The 22,828-nt window shown below is 42.7% G+C and overlaps 2 protein-coding genes across 11 annotated transcripts in view, besides 2 other annotated features; one reads left to right on the forward strand and one right to left on the reverse strand.

The window, feature by feature from the left end:
* Positions 12–591: a silencer, noted in NCBI's record as "silent region_6706". NCBI's record gives its function as "represses an Ori minimal core promoter by ATAC-STARR-seq in GM12878 lymphoblastoid cells {active_cell/tissue: GM12878}" and the evidence as "EXISTENCE:reporter gene assay evidence [ECO:0000049][PMID:35858748]".
* IDH3A (isocitrate dehydrogenase (NAD(+)) 3 catalytic subunit alpha) lies at positions 52–22,635 on the forward strand. Of its 5 annotated transcripts, none has more exons than XM_047432429.1 (12): positions 52–632; positions 5,903–5,965; positions 7,598–7,852; positions 8,238–8,321; positions 10,782–10,896; positions 12,271–12,458; positions 12,924–13,057; positions 14,197–14,299; positions 14,406–14,470; positions 15,682–15,766; positions 16,840–16,992; positions 19,612–22,635. In XM_047432429.1, the coding sequence occupies exons 4-12, from the start codon at positions 8,298–8,300 to the stop codon at positions 19,693–19,695; spliced, it is 951 nt and encodes a 316-aa protein (XP_047288385.1). In that variant the 5' UTR covers positions 52–632; positions 5,903–5,965; positions 7,598–7,852; positions 8,238–8,297; the 3' UTR covers positions 19,696–22,635. The 5 variants fall into 5 exon arrangements, with proteins under 5 accessions (XP_047288385.1, XP_024305679.1, XP_047288384.1 ...); XM_024449911.2 differs by having other exon boundaries at positions 52–120; XM_047432428.1 differs by lacking the exon at positions 7,598–7,852.
* Positions 18,158–22,828, reverse strand: part of ACSBG1 (acyl-CoA synthetase bubblegum family member 1) — a 67,098-nt gene continuing 62,427 nt past the window's right edge. For 4 of the 6 annotated variants that reach the window (NM_001199377.2, NM_015162.5, XM_011521390.4 and 1 more), the window contains one exon: positions 18,158–22,219. In NM_001199377.2, the coding sequence (NP_001186306.1) occupies positions 22,134–22,219 (86 nt within the window). In that variant the 3' untranslated portion in view covers positions 18,158–22,133. The remainder of the gene's footprint in view (positions 22,220–22,828) is intronic. The other 2 variants (XM_017022025.3, XM_011521391.3) reach the window with 1 other exon arrangement.
* Positions 18,222–18,521: an enhancer, noted in NCBI's record as "active region_9911". NCBI's record gives its function as "activates an Ori minimal core promoter by ATAC-STARR-seq in GM12878 lymphoblastoid cells {active_cell/tissue: GM12878}" and the evidence as "EXISTENCE:reporter gene assay evidence [ECO:0000049][PMID:35858748]".

The raw sequence follows: 22,828 nt of genomic DNA on the forward strand, positions 1-22,828 counted from the left end.
GGGGCGTGGCCGTGCAGGGGCGGGCTCCGAGCGTGGGGTGGGCGCTTGCGCACTGCCGCTGCGGCTGTTGCTGCGGAGCCAGGAGGGGAAGCGATGGCTGGGCCCGCGTGGATCTCTAAGGTGAGCGCTGGCAGGCCGGCGTGTGGCAGGCAGGCAGGCCGCGAGGGCTGGCAGGAGAGCCGGTCGCGTGCCGGGTGTGGGCGGGCGCGTGGGCCAGACAGGGAGGCGGTGGCTGCCCGCGGGGACAGCTTGGGAGCCGGTCCTGGTCGCCCGTGCCCCGCGCTCCGTGGCCGGCTCGCAGTGTATGGGCCGCCCCGGGCCGGGTCAGCAGCGCAGAGGCGGGGACGGCGTCAAGGTCAAGGCGGGGGGGCGCCGGCCCTGCTCCTGCCGAGACCCGGCTGCCGTCACCCGCATCCGCCCAGGCCAGAGCCCAGGCTTCGCGCCGAGCCCGGGAAGGTCACGGGAGCCTCTGTCCCGGCTCCGCCATCCGGGCCGCTTCCCCGGCTGCGGCCCTGCTGCGGGACTGATCCCCTCAGCACTGCCCACACCTCTCATCCGCTGTCTGCGCGGCCCTTGGCCGGGGAACCGCAGGTGCCACGGGCACTGGCGTTGAGCTTGGGAGGTTTTCCCAGGTGAGAGAATCCGGGGGCCCTTTTCCCTATCAGATTGTTTTCCCTTTGGCGCTCTTCCCAGTCAGACCTCTAGTGCTCTTGTAGCTATTTCCCCTTCATAGGATAGGGCATCTTACACCTCGGAATTACCGTCTGAACCTTCGGAGAGAGAGACCAGCAGAGCCTTCCTTTTACCTTTCATTGGTGGGAATCCTGCAATCTGGAGCGCTTTAGCTCTCCTTGACAGCTCAGATGCCAGAGCTGGAAAGGGTTTCAGATCATCTATGCAGTTCCGTAGCTTCTCAGTGGAACTAACCTGTGCCTGAAGAAGAATTTGCTCAAGGTCACACAGGAGGTCGGTGTCAGAGCAGGGAGAGGAACCTAGGTGTCTTGGTTCCCATTTCCCAAGGTCACATAGCAAATGATGGTACAGGCCATCAGGCCTCAAGTCTCCTGTTGCTATGAAAGGGTGGTCCCCTAGAAATCTATAAACAATTTAACGTTTTTCTGTAAGTTTGATACTACTTTTCTCCCATTTTTTCGGTTTAAAGAGAGGTCCAGAGATGCACTGTTATTTAAGGAAAAGATCTCTGTACTGGAATTTAGGAGTCTCAGATTTAAATCCTAGCAATGCCACTGATTGGCTGTGTGACCCTAAGCAAATTACTAAACATCTCTAAGCCTTAATATGCCCATCTGTGAATATCTATACTTACATCACAGAATTGTTTGAGTATTAAATAAAATAATGTATGTGAAAGCACTTGGTATGTACAGAAGGAAAACAAAAATCTGAAGCTTTCTTATCAATATGTTTATCTGTCTCCAACAGACAGTGGTTTTCATGGGCATCATTAACTGGTTTTTTTGTTCAATAACTAGATTCTACTTTGTCACCCTCTTCAGACCCAGATTTGCTTGTGATGATAACTCTTATGTCACATTTGCTCCTAAAAGTAAAGCAACTTCTGTGTCACTGTGAAAACTGAACTCAGTCCTTTAATCTCTGAACTTACATTTAACACCCAATTCATCTTTGGTAGGTACATTTGCCTTCACAGTGAGGCACTAAAGCAACACTTGATAATGATTGTGCTGGTAAATCTGTTTTGCCTTTAGTGTGATCTGCATGAAAAAACCCTCATAGTAGGTATTCAGAAAGTGTTGGGTTGTGGAGTCAGAAGATGAGGTTCTCTGACATGCACTCCCTGTGTGACCTTTGGCAGAGTCATTTGACTTCTGGGCCAGCTTCTCACTTTAGGGATTGGAGCAGAAGGTGGCTCAGAGGCTGACCCCAGGATGGTGGAGGTGCTGAGCTGGATGCCGGTTTCAATCAGGACAGTTCCTCTGTTGAGTTTCCATTTCAGGTTGTGGCCAGGCATGGTGGCTCATGCCTGTAATTCTAGCACTTTGGGAGGCCAAAGTGGGCGGATCACTTGAGGTCGGGAGTTCAAGACCAGCCTGGCCAACATGGCGAAACCCCATCTCTACTAAAAATACAAAAATTTGCTGGGCGTGGTGGCGCACGCCTGTAATCCCAGCTACTCGGGAGGCTGAGGCAGGAGAGTCACTTGAACCCAGGAGGTGGAGGCTGCGGTGAGAGGAGATCATGCTCCTACCTGGGTAACAGCAAGACTCTGTCTCAAAAAAAAAAAAGATTTTTTTTTTAAAACCCATCTCAGAACCCATGTACAACACTATTTACATGTTTTTAAGTTAAAAAGGAAATGAGTTGTGGATTAAGATGGCCCACGACCTGAAGTCCAAAGTTCAGGGTTTTGGTCCAGGCTTCATGAACCTGGCCTCAGTTTCCTCATCTGAAAAGTGCCAATAATGCCTATCTCTACAGGTTTTATATAAATAAAATGATGTGAGATATATATATATATATGCATATGAGTATTCTATAAAGTAGAAGTCCTGCCATCTCAGCCTTCCATGAAGCTGGGACTACTGGTGTGTGCCACCATACCTGGCTAACATTTAAAATTTTTTTTGTAGAGGTAGGGTCTCACTCTGTTGTCTAGGCTGATTGGTCAGGTCTTCTGTCACAGAGACATAAGCTAGTTTTGTGTGAATGTCTTTTCCCTCTTTTTTGGGCTGGGAGAGGAGAAAGGACTCATGTCAATTTTTTTTTTTTTTTTTTTTTTTTTTGAGACAGAGTTTTGCTCCTGTTGCCCAGGCTGGAGTGGAATGGTGAGATCTTGGCTCACTGCAACCTCCACCTCCTGGGTTCAAGCGATTCTCCTGCCTGAGCCTCCCAAGTAGCTGGGATTACAGGCACCCACCATCACACCCAGCTGATTTTTGTATTTTTATTAGAGACAGGGTTTCACCATGTTGGCCAGGCTGGTCTTGAACCCTGACCTCAGGTGATCCACCGGCCTCAGCCTCCCAAAGTGCTGGGATTACAAGCGTGAGGCACTGCGCCCGGCCTTTTTTTTTTTTTTTTTTTTGAGATGGAGTTTTGCTCTTGTCACCCAGGCTAGAGTGCAATGGCGCGATCTTGGCTCACCGCAACCTCTGCCTCCTGGGTTCAAGTGATTCTCCTCCCTCAGCCTCCTGAATAGCTGGGATTACAGGCATGTGCCACCACGCCTGGCTAATTTTGTATTTTTAGTAGAGACAGGGTTTCTCCATGTTAGTCAGGCTGGTCTTGAACTCCTGACCTCAGGTGATTTGCCTGCCTCAGCCTCCCAAAGTGCTGGGATTACAGGCGTGAGCCACCGCATCCGGCCTCATGTCACTTTTATGCTCTGCTTGTCACGAAGTAACCTTTAAATGGTGCTTTGGAAAATTTTATTTTACTTAAAGTTCTGGGTCATTGTGATGACTTAGGTGCAGTACTGCTTTATTCTAAGATCATGCAAGAGAGATGACAAACATGGAAAAGACTGGTCCTTAAAGAAGATCATTGCAAGTATTAAGGCTACTTGTTGGCTTGGAAACTCTTCAGATAGAGATGTGACTGAGGCTGGACTCAGTTTTGTTTGATTGTTGTTTTGTTTTTTTTTAAATTATTGAATACCTTCTATGAGCCAGGGACTGTTCTAGACACTAGATACAACAGTGAACAAAACACAAATCCTTACACTCCTGGGTTTACATTGCTGCCCCCAGCATATGCAGGTAGGATGGGTTTACATTTTAAAATCAGTTGTTTGAGTCGGGTCTTTTTCATTCTTTCTTTCTTTTTTTCTTTTTTTTGTCCATTACCTAGGCTGGAGTGCAGTGGCATAATCATAGCTCACAGAAGCCTCAAGCTCCTGGGCTCAAGCAGTCCTGAGCTCAAGCCGACTTAGCCTCCCATGTAGCTGAGACCATTGGTGTGCACCACCATACCTGGCTAATTTTGTAGAGACAGGGTCTCACTTTGTTGCACAGCCTGGTTGGTTGGGTCTTCTGTCACAAGGACATGAGTTTTGTGTGAATGTCTTTTCCTTCTTTTTTGTTCAGGGAGAGGAGAAAGGACACATGTCAATTTTCTTGTCACAAAGTAGCCTTTAAATGGCCTCCCTTCCAATAGCCCACTCGCTGGTGGATGAATCATGCCCTAGGATTAACATTTTGGCCAATGGTTTTGGCATTCTTTTGGATTTGGCCCAGTCTTATTTTCAATGCAGAGTCATGACTATAGATACCAGAAGATTAGAGAATAAAATTCATTCATACCTTTCTTGGCTGTTGGTTGTTACCAATAAATATTTCAGCAAAGGTTCAGACCCCAGAAAAAAACATCAAGATAGGATATAACAAATGTGTCTTTGCTCATGTATCTAGCAGGAGAAAAAGTTACTTTTTAAAAAATTTAATGCAGCCGGGTGTGGTGGCTCATGCCTGTAATCCCAGCACTTTGGGTGTCCAAGGCAGGTGGATCACCTGAGGTCAGGAGTTTGAGACCAGCCGGGCCAACATGGAGAAACCCTGTCTCTACTAAAAATACAACAAGATTAGCCGGGCATGGTGGTGCATCCCTGTAATCCCAGCTACTTTCAGGAGGCTGAGGCAAACCCAGGAGGTGGTGGTTGCAGTGAGCCGAGATTGCACCATTGCACTCCAGCCTGGGCAACAAGAGTGAAACTCTGTCTCAAAAAAAAAAAAATTTAATGCATTTTAATACCTTTGGTCTATGTACCCAGTTTCTTTTTTTATATTGTTTATAATAATGTAGTATGACTTTGTACCAGTTCTCAAGGACTAAGTTATTAAAGTTTATAATAAACCTTTAAAATTTATATTTCTGGCATATGATGTTAATTGGAGAGAGAAAAAAAAAAAAAAACACGTACCAGTGGTAATATCTTGGTGTGGTGGGATTACTGGGTAACTTTTATTTTATATTTTGTATCTTTTCCTAGTCCCAGCAAACTGACAGTAATGACCACATTACCTATATTATCAGAAGAAGCAGTAATTTATTTAAAATCTTTATTCTGTATGGCATGGGCATCAGATGGTATTAAATAAACTTTCTTAGATTTTACTATAAAGTGTAATTTCTTAATATTCACAGAATAGATATAATGTATAATTGAAGGAGCACTGGACCAGGAGTCAGAAGACCTGTATGTGGGTTTCCATTTTGCCAATTATTCGCTGTGTGACCTTAGGCAAATGCTTTTCTTTGGGACCAGCATCTCCGCTTATGAAATAAGCAAGTTGCCAGGTGTCGTGGTGCACACCTGTAATCCCACCTACTCAGGAGGCTGAGGCAAGAGGGTCACTTGAGCCCAGGAGTTGGAGACTGCAGTGAGTTATGATTGTGCCTTTGAATAGTCACTGCACTCCATCCTGGGCAACCTAGGGAGACCCCATCTCAAAAAGCCTAAAACAACAACAAGAAATAAGTGAGTTGTGCTCTGGATTTCATGAGGAACATCCTGGCTCTAAAATTAATGGTAATTTTCTTAGAATATATGTTACCCCTAAATTGACCGAATGGTCAAGAATGTTGGCACAAAATGATCCACTCATCTGAGAAGAATCTGTATGTTGAGCTGAAAAAGTAGTTTTATTCTACCTTCAACATCTTTTATTTGACAACTTATATTCGTTAAATTGACTTTGAAAATATACAGTACTCAATCTAAAGTAAAAATCTGAGTATTTAGGCTTTCAAATCTGAGATAGCTTGCCACATTGAGCTAATACATGAGATTTGTATTCCTGGGAAGCTACTGAATATATCTGTGCCAAGTTGCAGCATTACCATCCATCAGGACTTCCTCGCTCTTGTTTACTGTATGTGGTTTAATTCTGTGTGTGATATTTCTCTGTTGATATTAATATAGGTCTCTCGGCTGCTGGGGGCATTCCACAACCCAAAACAGGTGACCAGAGGTTTTACTGGTGGTGTGAGTATAATTATGTCTTTTATTTTTTCCTTTTAGAAGTTTCTCAAGAAAGATGCTCTAACATATTTATTATATAGCATTTTATCTCCATTCATTTAGAATTTGGGAAAATTGGCCATATTTATAATGTATGTTGAAATTACTGGCTGACATGCACAAATCTGTTAGGTTACTTGCGCATTTGAAAGAATTATCTTACAGCTGGCTATGTAAGTTTGTCACATTAATATCTTGAGGGAGCCTTGTTAAAAATAGAAAGTACCCTTGAGCCTGTTATTTTATTTCACAATCTCATTTTGGTGAGACAGCTTTTTTCAAAACTAGTACAAGTTGAGAGAAAATTGTTGAGAAGCTTCAAAACCTGCTTTGCATTTTTATTTTATGGGCTTCCCTAAACCCAGTAGATTGAGTGCCAATTAGGAATGCCTCGAACATCTATAAGCCTTGTAGGCTTATACTTGCCTTATATAGGCTTTGTAGACTATCACAGTAGTAGATCATCTATTGTTCATTAAATCTGCTGCTTTTAGAATTCCCAGCATCAGAATTCTGTGCTTTAAAAGCTGATACCACATTTTTGGAACATTCTAAGACTGTGGGTCAGTGACTTCCTATTTGTTTTGATCCCCGCCCCGCCTTTTATGGAATCTGATTTGGATTTCATAATTCCTATACTCCCATATAACATCTATGCCGTGAAAGATTTATAAGACCATAGTACATTTTTTCCTCCATTTACTTTCTGTATTGTGGAAGAAAAGCAGATTTTCTGGTGACTGGATGACATTTATTATTACATGTTGGGAGAACAGGAAGAAGTAGCCAAAGCGTTCTTTTGGCTCTGCTTATGCCAAAAATGCAGGATGGGGCTTGCACTTCAAGCTCAAGGATAGCCATGCTAGCATTTCAAACGCATTCTGAAAGCTAATAAGATGATCATTGCTCTCTGCTATTATTTAATTTTCAGGCTATTTATTTGAAAAAAAAATTAGCTTGATGGAGGAGGTTATTTTTGAAGAAATAAGAGGATGTATTAATTTTTTTAAAGACTTCTTCAACCCGAGAAAACTGGTATGAGCCTTAGCCCTGGCTAAGACTGAGGTGGGAGATTTGCTTAAGGCCAGGAGTTCGAGGCTGCAGTGAGCTGTGATCACACCTGTGAGTAGCCACTGTGCTCCTGCCTGGCAATGTAGTGAGTCCTCATCTCTAAAAAATAAAAATTGAAAATTAGAAAAATGAAAAAAATAAAAATGTTTCTTCAGTTGTACAGAAACTAATCAGAAATAATTAGTCCACGTATCTGGGCAGACATCATTGGAAGGCAAAGGACCAAGGAAACTTGAATTAGTGACTTTTTAAAAATGCAGTTCAAGCAACTAGAACTGAAAAAAAGCCAAGCCCCTAGGTGGGGTAAAGTCCCAAGATAATAAAATATGTGGTTCCCAAATGGAAAAAGAGGTGCTGATCTTCTCCCTTACATATTTTTATTTCTGCATTTGAAATGCTGGCTTCGTTTTGCCTGAAGCCTTAGAATAAATCATTGCTGTTACATTATAAAAACAATAATTGTCATTCTAAGTGTGACTCAGGCTTTGCAGGTATGATGACATATACTATTCTTTTTGGTTGCAGATCAACTTTGCCAAGCTTATGTAGATTACTCTTAGATTTAAGCAGACAGTTTTATAGAGGAACTAAGAAAAAAATGGAAGCTCTCTTGATAAAAAGTCTGATTTTCCCTGAGTACCAAAACAGACCTCAGTAATATTTTGGAAATGTGTCTGAAAATGTTTTGCAAGACTGAAGAAGTTGCATGAGAAGCTTTCCAGGATCACAATGGAAAGGAAAGGAAAACACTTGCCTTCATGAGAAACCGTCTAAATTTTAGTGAGAGAACATTGTTAATTTTTTGTTGTTGTTGTCTTTGGTTTAAAAGATTTGAATTAATTGGTCTCTTTGCAGCTTGTCTGAAAAGAAATATCAATTAGGAAATCTACTTGGTAGTTTAATTTATTTTCGTTTTATGTAAAGAGTATCATTTGGTTCTTTTTAAAACCTCTGAACTCAGGTAAAGAGTAGGATTGCAGAGTCTCTCCTCTGTTGATTCCTGCCTCCCCTTTGATGACCCCCGGGGAGGTATGTTTGTTTTCTTAACAGCATTTGAATCTTCCTGAGACATCTCATAAAGTGGATTTCTCTGTCAAAATATTCTTTTTTAAGCCTTCAAAAACAAAAATTCTTACTGTCTTCTTTGATGATTTCTTATGTTCAGGTTCAGACAGTAACTTTAATTCCAGGAGATGGTATTGGCCCAGAAATTTCAGCTGCAGTTATGAAGATTTTTGATGCTGCCAAAGTAAGTGGGCTTAAAAAATACATTTAATGATGACTCACTGAAAAGTTTTCTTAGCCAGTTGGATTCTGTGAACTTTTAGGATGCATTGTACCCATTTCTATGAAATTTAGTCAGGTCTGTTGTTAATCTCCACCGATTGTCACTTTAACAGTGTGTGTCTCAGTGTTTGCTACTGCCATTATTTCTTTCTTTCTTTTTTTTTTTTTTTTAAATTTAGAGATGAGGTCTCGCTCTATTCCCAGGCTGGTCTTGAACTCTGGGGCTCAAGCGATCCTCCCACCTTCACCTCCCAAAGTGCTTGGATTATAGGCGTGAGCCACCGCACCTGGCTGGCTGCTCCTGTTGTTGATAGTTTAAACTCCTGCATTGGCATCAGTTATATGTAAAGTAATCAAAGTAGTACTGCAGTATTTGTGGATCTTTAAGTCCTGCTTGGGTTTAAGATCTTTTAAGCCCTGCCAAATCACCCACCTTTTTGCAAAAAATAAAATAAAATAAGACTAGAATTGCTGTTTCCAAAATCTATACAGGCGCTTTTGAAATAATCTCTTTAAAATAAAATTTCTGATGTGTTATCAAGAATGGAATGTTATTACTTCTAACAGCTGAGCCTTTGATACAGGTAGATAATTTAAAAATTCTGTAAGTGGATTCAGCTGTAAGCTGCTTGTGAACAGCACCGTGTCTGTCTGAGCTCGTGTCCTAGGACATGTTCAGTGTGCTAGCTGTATACACATGAAGGATGTAGGTAGAGAGAAAGGGATGCTTGTTTATACCTCCAACTGGTACATTCATAGGTTATGCAATACATACATACATATATATATATATATTTTTTTTTTTTTTTTTTTTTTTTTTTTTTGAGACAGAGTTTTGCTCTTGTTGCCCAGGCTGAAGTGCGATGGAGCAATCTCGGCTCACTGCAACCTCTGCCTCCCGGGTTCAAGCGATTCTCCTGTCTCAGCCTCCCAAGTAGCTGGGATTACAGGCACATGCCACCACGCCTGGCTAATTTTTTTATTTTTAGTAGAGACAGGGTTTCATCATATTGGTCAGGCTGGTCTCGAACTCCTGACCTCAGGTGATCTGCCCACCTTGGCCTCTGCACCGGGCCTGGCCTATATATATATTTTAAACAATGTAATATTGTTTTTTAAAAACAGCTTTATGGAGATATCATTCATCCTTTATTTTTTATTTTTATGTTTCATTTGTTTTGAGACATTGTTTCGCTCTTGTTGCACAGGCTGGAGTGCAATGGCATGATCTTGGCTCACTGCAACCTCCGTCTCCCAGGTTCAAGCTATTCTTCTGCCTCAGCTTCCCGAGCAGCTGGGATTACAGGTGCCTGCCACCACGCCCAGCTGATTTTTGTATTTTTAGTAGAGGCGGGGTTTCACCATGTTGGCTAGGCTGGGCTGGAACTCCTGACCTCAGGTGATCCACCCACCTTGGCTTCCCAAAGTGCAGGGATTACAGGCGTGAGCCACCACACTGGGCCTAATTCATCCTTTTAAAATGTACCTTTCAATCCAGTGGTTTTTAGTACATTCACAGAGTTATGCAACCATCACCACAATCTAATTTTGGACCATTTTCCTCACCGAAAAAGAAACCCCATACCCTATGCAGTCGCTCCCCATTTCGTCTCTCTCCCTCCCTACCCCCTCCTCCTTTTTCTTCCCCCACCCTAGGCAGCCAACCACTCATCTACTTTCTGTATCTGTAGATTTGCCTATTTGGGACATTTCATATAAATAGAATCTTATAATATATGGTCTTTTATGATTGGCTTCTTTCACTTAGCATGATGTTTTTAAGTTTCATCCATGTATCAGTACTATATGATGTTTCTGTGAACCATATTCCTCTGCTACTTATGATATTCTAACTATAGCCACTGTTAAGAGCCCTTGTGAAAAGAAATAAGTGGGCAGGTGGTAGCTGGGAGTGATGACTGGGCACAGATAATGTAGAGAATCCCTCTGGGCCTGCTAGAGAATGACATCTCTTCTTGCATGCCAGGAACCTTCTGGACCTTTACTGTTTTTAGCAGTCACATCCAAAGTTGAAAAAGGGCTGGGCCCGGTAGCTCACGTCTGTAATCCCAGCACTTTGGGAGGCCGAAGTGGGCAGATCACCTGAGGTCAGTAGTTTGAGACCAGCCTGGCCAATATGGTGAGACCCTGTCTCTACAAAAAAAATACAAAAAAATTAGCTGGGTGTGGTGGTGGGCGCCTGTAATCCCAGCTACTCAGGAGGCTGAGGCATGAGAATCGCTGGAACCTGGGAGGCGGAGGTTATAGTGAGCCAAGATTGTGCCGCTGCACTCTAGCCTAGGCGACAGAGCGGGACTCTATCTCAAAAACGAAGTTGAAAAAGTTTGTTCATCATTGCAGTATGAATGCCAGTTTCCTTTAAGTCTCTCCAGCTCACTGTGCTCTGTGATGTGGCATCTAGGCACCTATTCAGTGGGAGGAGCGGAACGTCACTGCCATTCAAGGACCTGGAGGAAAGTGGATGATCCCTTCAGAGGCTAAAGAGTCCATGGATAAGAACAAGATGGGCTTGAAAGGTAGCACTGAAGTAGAGACGGGGGTTTTTACAGATTTCCGCTACAGGGGTTACTTAGTTTTGAAAATTTATGCATTTAAACTGAATAAGGCCTGGCCATCTGTGAAGGTAACGCCATTCTTTTATGAAGTAACTACTCATAGTAAGATGTTTTATTCATTTGGGACATTTTTTTCCCCCAGTAAAAAACATTAAAGTATTACTGGATGATGCCAAATAACAGTATCTCTATTTAATCTTCAACTATATATATCTTTTGCTTAATTTTTACATTTGTATATTTATTTATTTACTTAATTTTTTTGTGACAGAGTCTCGCTCTGTTGCCCAGGCTGGAGTGCAGTGGTGTGATCACAGCTCACTGCAGCCTTGACCTCCTGAGCTCAAGCAGTCCTCCCACCTCAGCCGCCCGAGTGGCTAGGACTACAGGTGTGCCACCATGCCCAACTAATTTTTTAAAAAGTTTTTTGTAGAGATGGGGTCTCACTATGTTTCCCAGGCTGATCTGGAATACCTAAGCTCAAGCAATCCTTCTGCCTCTGCCTCCCAAAGTGCTGGGATTACAGGCCTGACTTAGCCACTGTGCCTGGCCTACATTTTTATTATTATTTTAATTAATACATGTTTAAGGCCATAATTCAAAAATACTAGCATGTGGTAGATTTAAATTCAGCATAGGCTTTATTTTTATATTTTTTGAGAGTCTCGCTCTGTTGCCCAGGCTGGAGTGCAGTGCCGTGATCTCGGCTCACTACAACCTCCGCCTTCTGGATTCAAGCTATTCTCCTGCCTCAGCCTCCTAAGTAGCTGGGATTACAGGCACACACCACAACGCCCAGCTAATTTTTGTATTTTTAGTAGAGACAGGGTTTCCCCATGTTGGCCAGGCTGGTCTTGGACTCCTGACCTCAAGCGATCCGCCTGCCTTGGCCTCCCAAAGTGTTGGGATTACAGGCCTGAGACTGTAGGCCAGAGCAAGCATAGGCTTTAAAGCCACAGACAGAACCAACATTGAATCTCATCTCTGCTACTTACTGGCTAGAAGGCTTGGGCAAATTTTTTATTCTTATTTTTTCTTTTTTCGTCATTTTTAAATGACAGTAACAGAGTTGCTGTTGTACGGGGTGATGATAAGGATTATATCATGTCAAGCACATGATTACAATGCTTGATCCTCAGGAAGTTCTGAAGATAAGAAACGCAGTTAATGTTCCAGAAAGCTCCCGTGAGGAAGTGTTCCTCCTTCATTTGAATCTCAGGTAGAGAGTGAACTAGAGGCAGAACACATTTCACAAGGTAGCCGAGGTGGGTTAGTAGGTCACACGTGAGACCAGAATTCCTTCTAGTGTCATCTGGGTTTTCTTCTGTATAACAGGCCCTTTGAAGACCCCAATAGCAGCCGGTCACCCATCTATGAATTTACTGCTGCGCAAAACATTTGACCTTTACGCGAATGTCCGACCATGTGTCTCTATCGAAGGCTATAAAACCCCTTACACCGATGTAAATATTGTGACCATTCGAGAGAACACAGAAGGAGAATACAGTGGAATTGAGCATGTGGTATGTTCACTCCAGATTCTTTTTTATTCCTGCTTGGACTGCTTTCTGTGCATCTGGGACCCCAGAGACAGATCTGCTTTATCTCTGTGAGGAGTTGTGGGTGTTTGTCTTGGTGCTGGGTGTCTGGCTGACAGTACTCAAACAAATGTAAGGCATGGTGGTTCGCGTCACAAGCTTGGGAATATGCCCTCTGAATTTTGAATCCCCCACTTCACAGGTGCGCTCTTCCGCAGATGACTGTCTCTGCATCTCAGTTTTCTTCATCTGTGCAGTGGGGCTCATAATACTTACCTCTTAGGGCTGGAGTTAACATGAACCCCATTGTCGTAGCAGTGTGTGTGATTAGTCATGCTAGCTGGCACTGTGCAGGCCTGCCACAAATGTTACTGTCTACTCCCCACCCTCTGTCTCCCACTGCGTTGCTGTCACACTCTTTCCAGCAAGGTGGGACTTCCTGTCTTGCAGATTGTTGATGGAGTCGTGCAGAGTATCAAGCTCATCACCGAGGGGGCGAGCAAGCGCATTGCTGAGTTTGCCTTTGAGTATGCCCGGAACAACCACCGGAGCAACGTCACGGCGGTGCACAAAGCCAACATCATGTGAGCTCCTTGCGGGGGCCGGCACCCCATCTTGCTTTGTTGTGGGAGAGCAGTGACAGGGCTTCCCTTTCTCCTCTTCAGCTTGTTCCTTGATTCCTAATATCTTTGAAAAAGAACTTTGTAACAATCCAAAGATACGGCATCTCTCTTCTGTCGGAGTCTCCTCTTTTCTCCTCTGTTTTTTTTTTTTTTTTTTGAGACGGAGTCTCTTTCTGTTGCCCAGGCTGGAGTGCAGTGGCGCGATCTTGGCTCACTGCAACCTCCGCCTCCCGGGTTCCAGCAATTCTCTTGCCTCAGCTTCCCGAGTCACTGGGACTACAGGCACATGCCACCATGACCGGCTAATTTTTGTATTTTCAGTGGAGATGGGGTTTCACCATGTTGGCCAGGCTGGTCTCAAACTCCTGACCTTAAGTGATCCGCTCGCCTTGGGCTCCCAAAGTGCTAGGATTACAGGCATGAGCCTCTGCGCCCGGCCTGGAGTCTCCTGTTTACTGCGCCTCCCTGGGCGAATGACAGGAGCAAATGAGGAGGGGATGGTGATTCAGGTCCTGGAAGCTCAAGGAAGGACTGAGGGTTATCAGGAAAGGAAATTGGAGCCTCGGGGTCCCCAGATGCTGTGGCCATCAGCAGAGGCCACATAGCGTACGTTTTAGAAGTGGAATAGTGGGAGGCTTAAAGTAGTGCTAACAATACCTGATGTGTTACTCCAGCAACTTAAATTCTCATCCAGAGGCTGTTAAAGTCCTCTGAATATATTAACAGTTTTCCTAACCTAAGAAAAGCATTGAACATGCAAAATAGTAAAACTATTTAAATTACTATGTTAACCTTTTAAAGCAATTTTAATAATATTAGTGGGTATTTCTTCATTCTTGTTAGATAACACTATAAAAATATAGTCTTCTCTGTTATGATCAAACTATTTTACATTTTTACTCTTTTATACTTTCAGAAGGATCCTAAAACATTTTCAGCTTATATTTTATTAACTACCTAAGAAATAATTTTATTGTAATTGGGATCAGGTAGCTTGGCTTCTGGAACTTAAATGTCTTGAACTTACTTTACTTCTTTGATTTGATTCTTTTCTTTCTGTAAGACTTTTTTTTCAGCAGTTTTTATTTGATTAAATACAGGCGGATGTCAGATGGGCTTTTTCTACAAAAATGCAGGGAAGTTGCAGAAAGCTGTAAAGATATTAAATTTAATGAGATGTACCTTGATACAGTATGTTTGAATGTAAGTATATATTCACACTTACCTGCTACTTTTTATGGTGAATGGTGTCTGTGTGTTGTGGGGATGCAGATTTTGATTACTAAATGCACAAATGTATTCCTTGTAGATGGTACAAGATCCTTCCCAATTTGATGTTCTTGTTATGCCAAATTTGTATGGAGACATCCTTAGGTGAGTCTGGCTGCAACCTATTTATTTTAGCCTATGATTTACTTATAAACATCCTAAAATAATTATGGCTTAACATTTTCAATTGAGTATTGTGAAATAGAGTATTTGTTGTAACATATGAATTGAATTCTAACAGTTCAGGTTGTGATATGAATGATTACATGTTGGGTGGCTTGTTCCTTCATTGATTTGCCAAATCATTGCTGGGCTCTTTCTCCCTAATCATTATTAGGTCACTCTTCCCAGTTTTTAAATGTTTGATTGATTGATTGATTTTAAGGTTTTGTTATGTATAGCTAGGTAGGTGGGTGGTCATTGTTACTATTTTTTGGTAACTTTTGACATAATTTCAGACTTACAGAAAAGTTGTAAGAATAGTACAAAGAATTCCCTTGTACTCAGCACCCTGATTCCACATTCTCCAGATGTCAGCATTTTATCACATTTACTTTATTACTCCTTCCCACTTTCCCTCCCTTCCTCTTCCTCCTCTCCTTTGTCTGTGCTTCTCTCTCTCTCTCTCTCCCCCCCCGACACACACAGACATAAGATGTTGGCCAAATGGTGATTTTCATTTTTTTTTTTTTTTTGAGGCAGAGTCTTGCTCTGTCGCCTAGGCTGGAGTGCAGTGGCACAATCTCGGCTCACTGCAACCTCTACCTCCCAGGTTCGAGTGATTCTCCTGCCTCCCCTGAGTAGTTGGTATTATTACAGGTGCACACCACCACACCTGGCTAATTTTTGTATTTTTAGTAGGGACGGGGTTTCGCCATGTTGGCCAGGCTGGTCTGGAACTCCTGACCTCAAGTGATCTGCCCACCTTGGCCTCCCAAAGTGCTGGGATTACAGGCATGAGCCACTGAGCCCAGCTGTGGACATGGTTTTCTGTTTTATTCAGTGATATATCCATCATCATAATCATGAATATTGATGCATAGGTTGTCCTAACTTGGCTGATGGGGGTCCCTTCACCATGTCTTCTGTGTCCTTTAGACACGGCCCTTTGTTCTTTGAGCCTTGCCTTGCTTTCTGACACAGTAAGATGCTCGAGGCTCATCTGTATTTTCCTAACCTTTGCCCTGGAATCAGCCATTTATCCAAGGAATGCTACTTCCTTTTAGTGGAGAATGATAATTAAAAACTAAAATCTGGGTGCTAGGTGAGATGTTTTATTTTTAAAAACATTCTTTGAAATGCTTTTCTTCCGCTAGTGACTTGTGTGCAGGATTGATCGGAGGTCTCGGTGTGACACCAAGTGGCAACATTGGAGCCAATGGGGTTGCAATTTTTGAGTCGGTAAGGACCCTGACACCTGAAACAGAACTCAGGTCAGAACAGCGTGTGAACTCAGGAGGAGTTATCTGTATAAGTATGCTTTAACTCCAGTTTTTCAAATTGTCAAAACAAAATGATGCTTTTTTTTTTTCTCGAGACGGAGTCTCGCTCTGTCACCCACGCTGGAGTACAGTGGTGCGATCTTGGCTCACTGCAACCTCTGCCTCCCAGGTTCAAGTGATTCTCCTGCCTCAGCCTCTCAAGTAGCTGGGATTACAGGTGTGAGCCACCACACCTGGCTAATTTTTGTATTTTAGTAGAGATGGGGTTTCACCATGTTGGCCAGGCTGTTCTTGAACTCCTGATCTCAGATGATCCATCCGCCTTGGCCTCCCAAAGTTGCTGGGATTACAGGTGTGAGCCATTGCACCCAGCCTATGTTTGTTTTTATATACACCCATATATAAACATATATATATGTTTGGTTTATCTCTTCATTTCCCTCCAGGTATTTATTATGTATCCTTCCTTCCTTAAAATATTTTACCAAAAATTGACTGAAAAAGATTGTTGGTCCATATTTTTATACTTAAAAAAATTACTTTAGCTCTTTATTTCTCCAAGTCTTTATTTATTTATTTATTTATTTTTGAGCTAGGGCCTTGTTCTGTCACCCAGGCTGGAGTACACTGGTGTGATCATAGCTCACTGCAGGCTTGAACTGCTAGGCTTAAGCAATCCTCCTGCCTCAGCCTCCCAAGTAGCTGGCACTGTAGTCAGGCACCACCATGCCTGGCTAATTGCTAATTTTTTTGTAGAAATGGGGTCTCACTATGTTGCCCAGGCTGGTCTTGAACTCCTGGCCTCAAGTGATCTTCTTGCCTTGGCCTATCAACGTGTTGCGATTACAGGTGTGAGCTATCACGCCCAACCCAGACTTTATTTCTTCAGTCCATATCAGATGAATTGCACGCAGTAGCTTTCAGTGCATATTTTGTATTGCTGAGGAAAGATGGTTAAGACTCCAGCTTCCCCAGAAGAGGACTGTTAGTTTTTGTCTCTCCCTTGATGATGCTACTTTTCCCGATGTGTAGGTTCATGGGACGGCTCCAGACATTGCAGGCAAGGACATGGCGAATCCCACAGCCCTCCTGCTCAGTGCCGTGATGATGCTGCGCCACATGGGACTTTTTGACCATGCTGCAAGAATTGAGGCTGCGTGTTTTGCTACAATTAAGGACGGAAAGGTAACAGGAATCTTGATTTACTTGTGCTGGGTAAAATGCATTGCTTCCATGTGTTTTATCTGAGTGAAAGGGACAGTGACAGATAATAGTTCTCAGGCGGGCCCAAGCATTTGATGTTGAACAAGGATTCTTAACGTGGGTCCCAGATTGAACAGGGTATGTGTGCACATGTGTGCATTTTCTGAGGTGAGGATCTAGATATTTCATCCAAAAAAAGTTAAGCAGCACTGATGTATAGACATCAGTGTACAGTGGAAAGGTCAGTGGTTTGGGAGGCAGCATCAGGTGCACGCCCAATTATCCTATTGTTAGCTGTGTGACCTTGGCCAAGTTCATTGATTTTTTTTGAGACAGAGTCTTGCTCTGTCACCCAGGCTGGGGTGCAGTGTCATAATCTTGGCTCACTGCAACCTGCACCTCCCGGGTTCAAGCAGTTCTCCTGCCTCAGCCTCCCTAGTAGCTGGGATTACAGGCGTGTGCCACCACACCCAGCTAATTTTTGTATTTTTAGTAGAGATGGGGTTTCACCATGCTGGCCAGGTTGGTCTCGAACTCCTGAGCTCAAGTGATCCTCCCGCCCCAGCCTCCCAAAGTGCTGGGATTACAGGCATGAGCCACCACACCCGGCCAAGTTCATTGATTTTTATAGACAACTTTTTACTCTTCACAACAAACGTCTGTTGAGTGTACCTTATAAGGTGTGAAGAGTAAAATGATGAATAGGGTAAGATGCTGAGCCTCAAGGAGCTGGGAATCTAGTGGCAGATACAGATGCAGATGTACCTCTAATACAATAGTCTTATATGTTACACTGTGTGCATCTATAATACAAAAGCAATACAGAAGTTTTATAAAAGTAATAACTAATATTAATTGAATACTTATGCAACTTTTAAGTTCTTTATATATCATCTCAGCAAAGTTTTTCTATAACTCTTTGAAGTAGATGCTATAATTCCATTTTATAGATGAGGAAACTGAGGTACAGAGAGAATAAATAATATGTCCAAGGTTTTACAGCTCCTAAATGACCCAAGTTGGTATTAACACGCAGTCTGGGCCTTACCCAACAAGCTCCACCGCCTCGGTAAGCAATTGTGGCCTGTGGAAGAAGTGTCGCGGGCTATTCCGAAGTTAGAGGAAATAATGCACTTGAAGACTCATCCCTAATTTGAGGTCCTTTTTAACAAAAATTGTGAAAAATATGCATAACATAAAATTTGCCATTTTAGCCGTATTTAGGTATACAGTTCAATAATGTTAAGTACATTCACATTGTAATGTAACCATCACCATCAGTCATCTCCAGACCAGTTTCATTTTCTCAAACTGAGACTCTGCACCCGTTAAACAGTAACTTTCCCTTCCCCCTCCCATCCTCTGACACCTGCCATTCTGCTTCCTGTCTCTATGAATTTGACTACTCTAGGTACCTCATGTAAGTGGAATCATACAGTATTTGTCCTTTGAGTCTGGCTTATTTCACTTAGCGTAATATCTTCAAAGTTGGTCCCTTCTTTTAAAAAAATTCTGTAATTTGAAATTATATCGTGTGGCCAAAATACAAGAAATTCAGGCTTGTTTTTAACAGCCTGATAGTCACATTGGAGGTCATATGATTTTCTTATTCTTTAAAGTTATATTTGGGAAGTTATAATCTACAGCCCAGTAGAGAGGTGCCTGAATTACATAGTGGGCCCTTTTATTGTGTAGGATGGAAAGATAAAGAGAATTAAATATATTGGGGTCTGTATGCAGGAAAGAAAGGATAAGCTGGTAGAACAGATCAGTTGTATGGGAGGCTTTCTTTCCTAAAGAGGGAGGTTTAAGAGTTAATGATTTAGGCAGGTGTGGTGGTGCATGCCTGTAGTTGCAGCTATAGGCTGAGGCAGGAGGATCACCTTAGCCTCTGAGTTCAAGACCAGCCTGGGCCACATAGTGAGACCCCGTCTCTTAAAAAAAAAAAAAAGAGTTAATGATTTAAATATTTCTTTCGTATTTGTGTCCCAGCCTCCAAAAATAGATCAGATACAAAAATTAGTTGGGTATGGTGGCATGCACTTGTAATTCCAGCTATTCAGGACGCTGAGGCAGGAGAATCGCTTGAACCCAGGAGGCAGAGGTTGTGGTGAGCTGGGATCGTGCCACTGCACTCCAGCCTGGGCAACAGAGTGAGACTCCATCTAAAAAAAAAATAATAATAAAAACAAAAATAGATCAAAATATGTCTCAGGTCTATTCCTGAGACATATTTCCCAAGGATTTTTATGAAACTTCTTATTTAGATTCGCTTTTATTTAAATATCCATGACCAACTAATCTGGGTTAGGGTCTATTGTGTGAACAAAGGGAAAATTTTGGTAAAGCTCCCTGCCTCCCTTTGCATCAAGAGCACCTTATTCTTTGCAGAGTGCTGTTGTATACACTATGAGATTGGATCCCGATCCTCCTGGGCTGGGTAGATGGTGGTGGAGTGGTTCCTCACTTTGAAATGAGGAACTAAATGAAAGAGCAGCCGAGTAACTTGCCCAGGTGGCATCTCACTGAGGGCTTTAAAATCTCCTTGGTTTAGTTTAGTTTGCGGATACATCTTTTATTTTTGCTTTTTCCTTTTCTCAGAGCTTGACAAAAGATTTGGGAGGCAATGCAAAATGCTCAGACTTCACAGAGGAAATCTGTCGCCGAGTAAAAGATTTAGATTAACACTTCTACAACTGGCATTTACATCAGTCACTCTAAATGGACACCACATGAACCTCTGTTTAGAATACCTACGTATGTATGCATTGGTTTGCTTGTTTCTTGACAGTACATTTTTAGATCTGGCCTTTTCTTAACAAAATCTGTGCAAAAGATGCAGGTGGATGTCCCTAGGTCTGTTTTCAAAGAACTTTTTCCAAGTGCTTGTTTTATTTATTAAGTGTCTACCTGGTAAATGTTTTTTTTGTAAACTCTGAGTGGACTGTATCATTTGCTATTCTAAACCATTTTACACTTAAGTTAAAATAGTTTCTCTTCAGCTGTAAATAACAGGATACAGAATTAACAAGAGAAAATGTCTAACTTTTTAAGAAAAACCTTATTTTCTTCGGTTTTTGAAAAACATAATGGAAATAAAACAGGATATTGACATAATAGCACAAAATGACACTCTTCTAAAACTAAATGGGCACAAGAGAATTTTCCTGGGAAAGTTCACATCAAAAAGAGTGAATGTGGTATATTTCTAAATGATATGGAAAATAGAGACAGATTTGTCCTTTACAGAAATTACTGAGTGTGAATAAAAACTTCAGATCCAAGAAATATATAATGAGAGATATAATTTTTGTTAATAAGACAAAGGTAATATATTGGATACAAAGACACAAATGTATTGTGTGTTCAATTATTTTGTTGTCTTGAGATTTAATATTCTTTCCAAGAGCTTTTAATGAAGCAGAGAGCTAGTACTTCATTTTCACTGGATACATTTTCAGCATCATGAGTTGTCACAGCCTCTGAGCCCCTGATCTGAAGCCAGAAGGGCTGAGTGTATTGTAAACTTATTCTTGCATGTTGCTGTCTGGGAATGGACCACACTACAGCAGGTAGTTCTGGGGGCGATACTGCCGAAAGGCCCGAACACATGTATTTTGGCTGCAATTGAGGAACTTGGGATGCTATTAATTTTGTATTTCAGCAACTGCCCCTTCTCCTATCCCAAAGCACCAATTACTGCCCTCTGCCTCAGCAGTACCAGTATAAGATGACATTCCAAAGACTGGAGGCAACTCAGCCTGAGTTAATTCACAAAATTATGCCATGCTGGGGCTTGAGCTTGAGCTTGGGCTTAGGCTTGGGCTCAGCTTTTGACCCTCAGGCATCTCCTTTCCCTTCCTGTCTTCCTCTCCCTTCTCCTCTGCTGCAGCATGATTTTCTTAATCTTCAGACACTCACTATTTTCATGAACAGTTACCCTCTGTCCCCACAACCAAAGACAACTCATGGCCTCCTTTGGCCCTTGTGTAACATTGCAAACCTGTGGCTTTGCAAAATGTACCCAGGTCACAAGGGGATTTTTTTTTTTTTAGCAATGATATCCCTGTCTGGGTCACTTTTTAAGCTTGTAACCGCCCCCCCAGACTTATAATCTTAAATGTATTTTCCTTTGTTTAAGCTGCTGCTTCCTCTGTTTCATTGGATTGTGCCAGTTATCAGTGGCTCTTGGGTTCAAAGTAATAAAGAATTCCAAAACTGAGATGTTTGCTTTCTCTACCTGTTTCCTGTTCAGATGCCTTCGGTCATTTTGGCTCAGCTTGCTACTGAGAATGGCTGCTTCCCGTATTCAGAATGGAAGTGGGGTGGTCTGGTGGCGACAGGCTAACGTAGAGCTGGCTGCTTTTATGAGAATGCGCCACTTGACCCCATCCTGCACCTTTGTTTATTCCAGGGCACTAATGGTCACTCGCATGCCCGCTGTGCACAGTCCTGTGAGTTAAATGCCCACTACTCTCTGCACTGGTCCCACCTGCTCAATTGACAAAAAAAATCAGGTCCTTGTTGACAGTTCTGTTAAAAGGTTTAATATTCAAATTATACATTAAATAGAATCAAACAGGCAGCAGCAGTTTTATTAAGCATCAAGTCAGTTGGCATGTGGGTGGCGGAGTGCCTGGTAATGGAATAATAGGGTCGGCGATGCCCGCCAAGATTCCAGAGTAAGTCAGGTCGCTAGGTGAGTTGTGACTGATTGCTTTTCCTGCAGCGCACGTGAGCAGTATCAGCCATCTCTCTCCTACCCGCTCCACAGCCTACTGCTGGCTGTCCTGTATGTGAGCTAGCAGCTTTTTAATCTACCTGGAACTAAGGCCAAAAATTATCAGCCCTTTCGTTCTGGAAGGAGAGCTGATCTCATTTGTCACCTGAACAAAAAGCAATACTTAAACTGAATTAAAACTACCCACACGTGAAGCTTCTTGGAATTGTCAGCTATTGTTGGCGTAAGACCTGGTAAATGTAGAGCCAGTGCTGTGCCCTGACCTGGAGATCTAACAGACTTGGCAGAAATGCCTGTGCCCAGACTGAAGAGACCTGGGGCTCAGGAAGAGGCTCGGAACGCCTGCCCTCTATTCTATAGAAACTGCAGGCATAGGCCCTGATTACATTTTTTGCTCTTGGTAAAAGGAGTCAATGATACCTTTGTACTTCTCCAAAACTGTGAGCCGTTTCAGTTTCATCGTGGGACCTAAAAGGGAAATGAGAAGAAATGAGTGAGGCCCAGGCTCTGAGAACTCTGAGAATGTGTGTGGTAAAGACTCACACTCAGTCCTATATATAACTCAGGAATTAAGCCAGATAATCAGGACCGTCAGTAGCCAGCCTCCAAGACAGTGATCGCTCCTGGTATTCATATGGCTTGTGTGTAGTCTCCTGTGTTATACCACTGGTTGTGGCCAGTGGAGTATAGATGAAGGGTTGGTATGTCACCTCTGAGAATAGGTTATAAAAGATCAGTTTCTTTTATACACATAGGAAAGTAGTGTAAGCTACATCTGCCTTTTCCTTGACCTGTACCCAGTTTTGACCCTCAGTCCATTTTCTCTGAAATGGATTTATTTGTTCCATCTCTTGAATGAATAAATTGTTGAAGCAATTAAAAAATAGACTAGGTTTCTGTCTTGGGCTTTCTCTTGGACCATTCTTCCTGGGCAAGCCGGCTGCCATGTTGTGAGGATACACAGCCCATGAGAGGCCCACTGGCCACACACGGATGTTTCTGGCCAGCAGACAGCAAGGAGCTGAGGCCTGCCGACAGCCACGTAAGTGAGCGCGGAGGTGAGCCTCAGCTGCAAGT

Source organism: Homo sapiens, chromosome 15, assembly GCF_000001405.40.
Source record: "Homo sapiens chromosome 15, GRCh38.p14 Primary Assembly".
Lineage (NCBI taxonomy): Eukaryota > Metazoa > Chordata > Mammalia > Primates > Hominidae > Homo > Homo sapiens.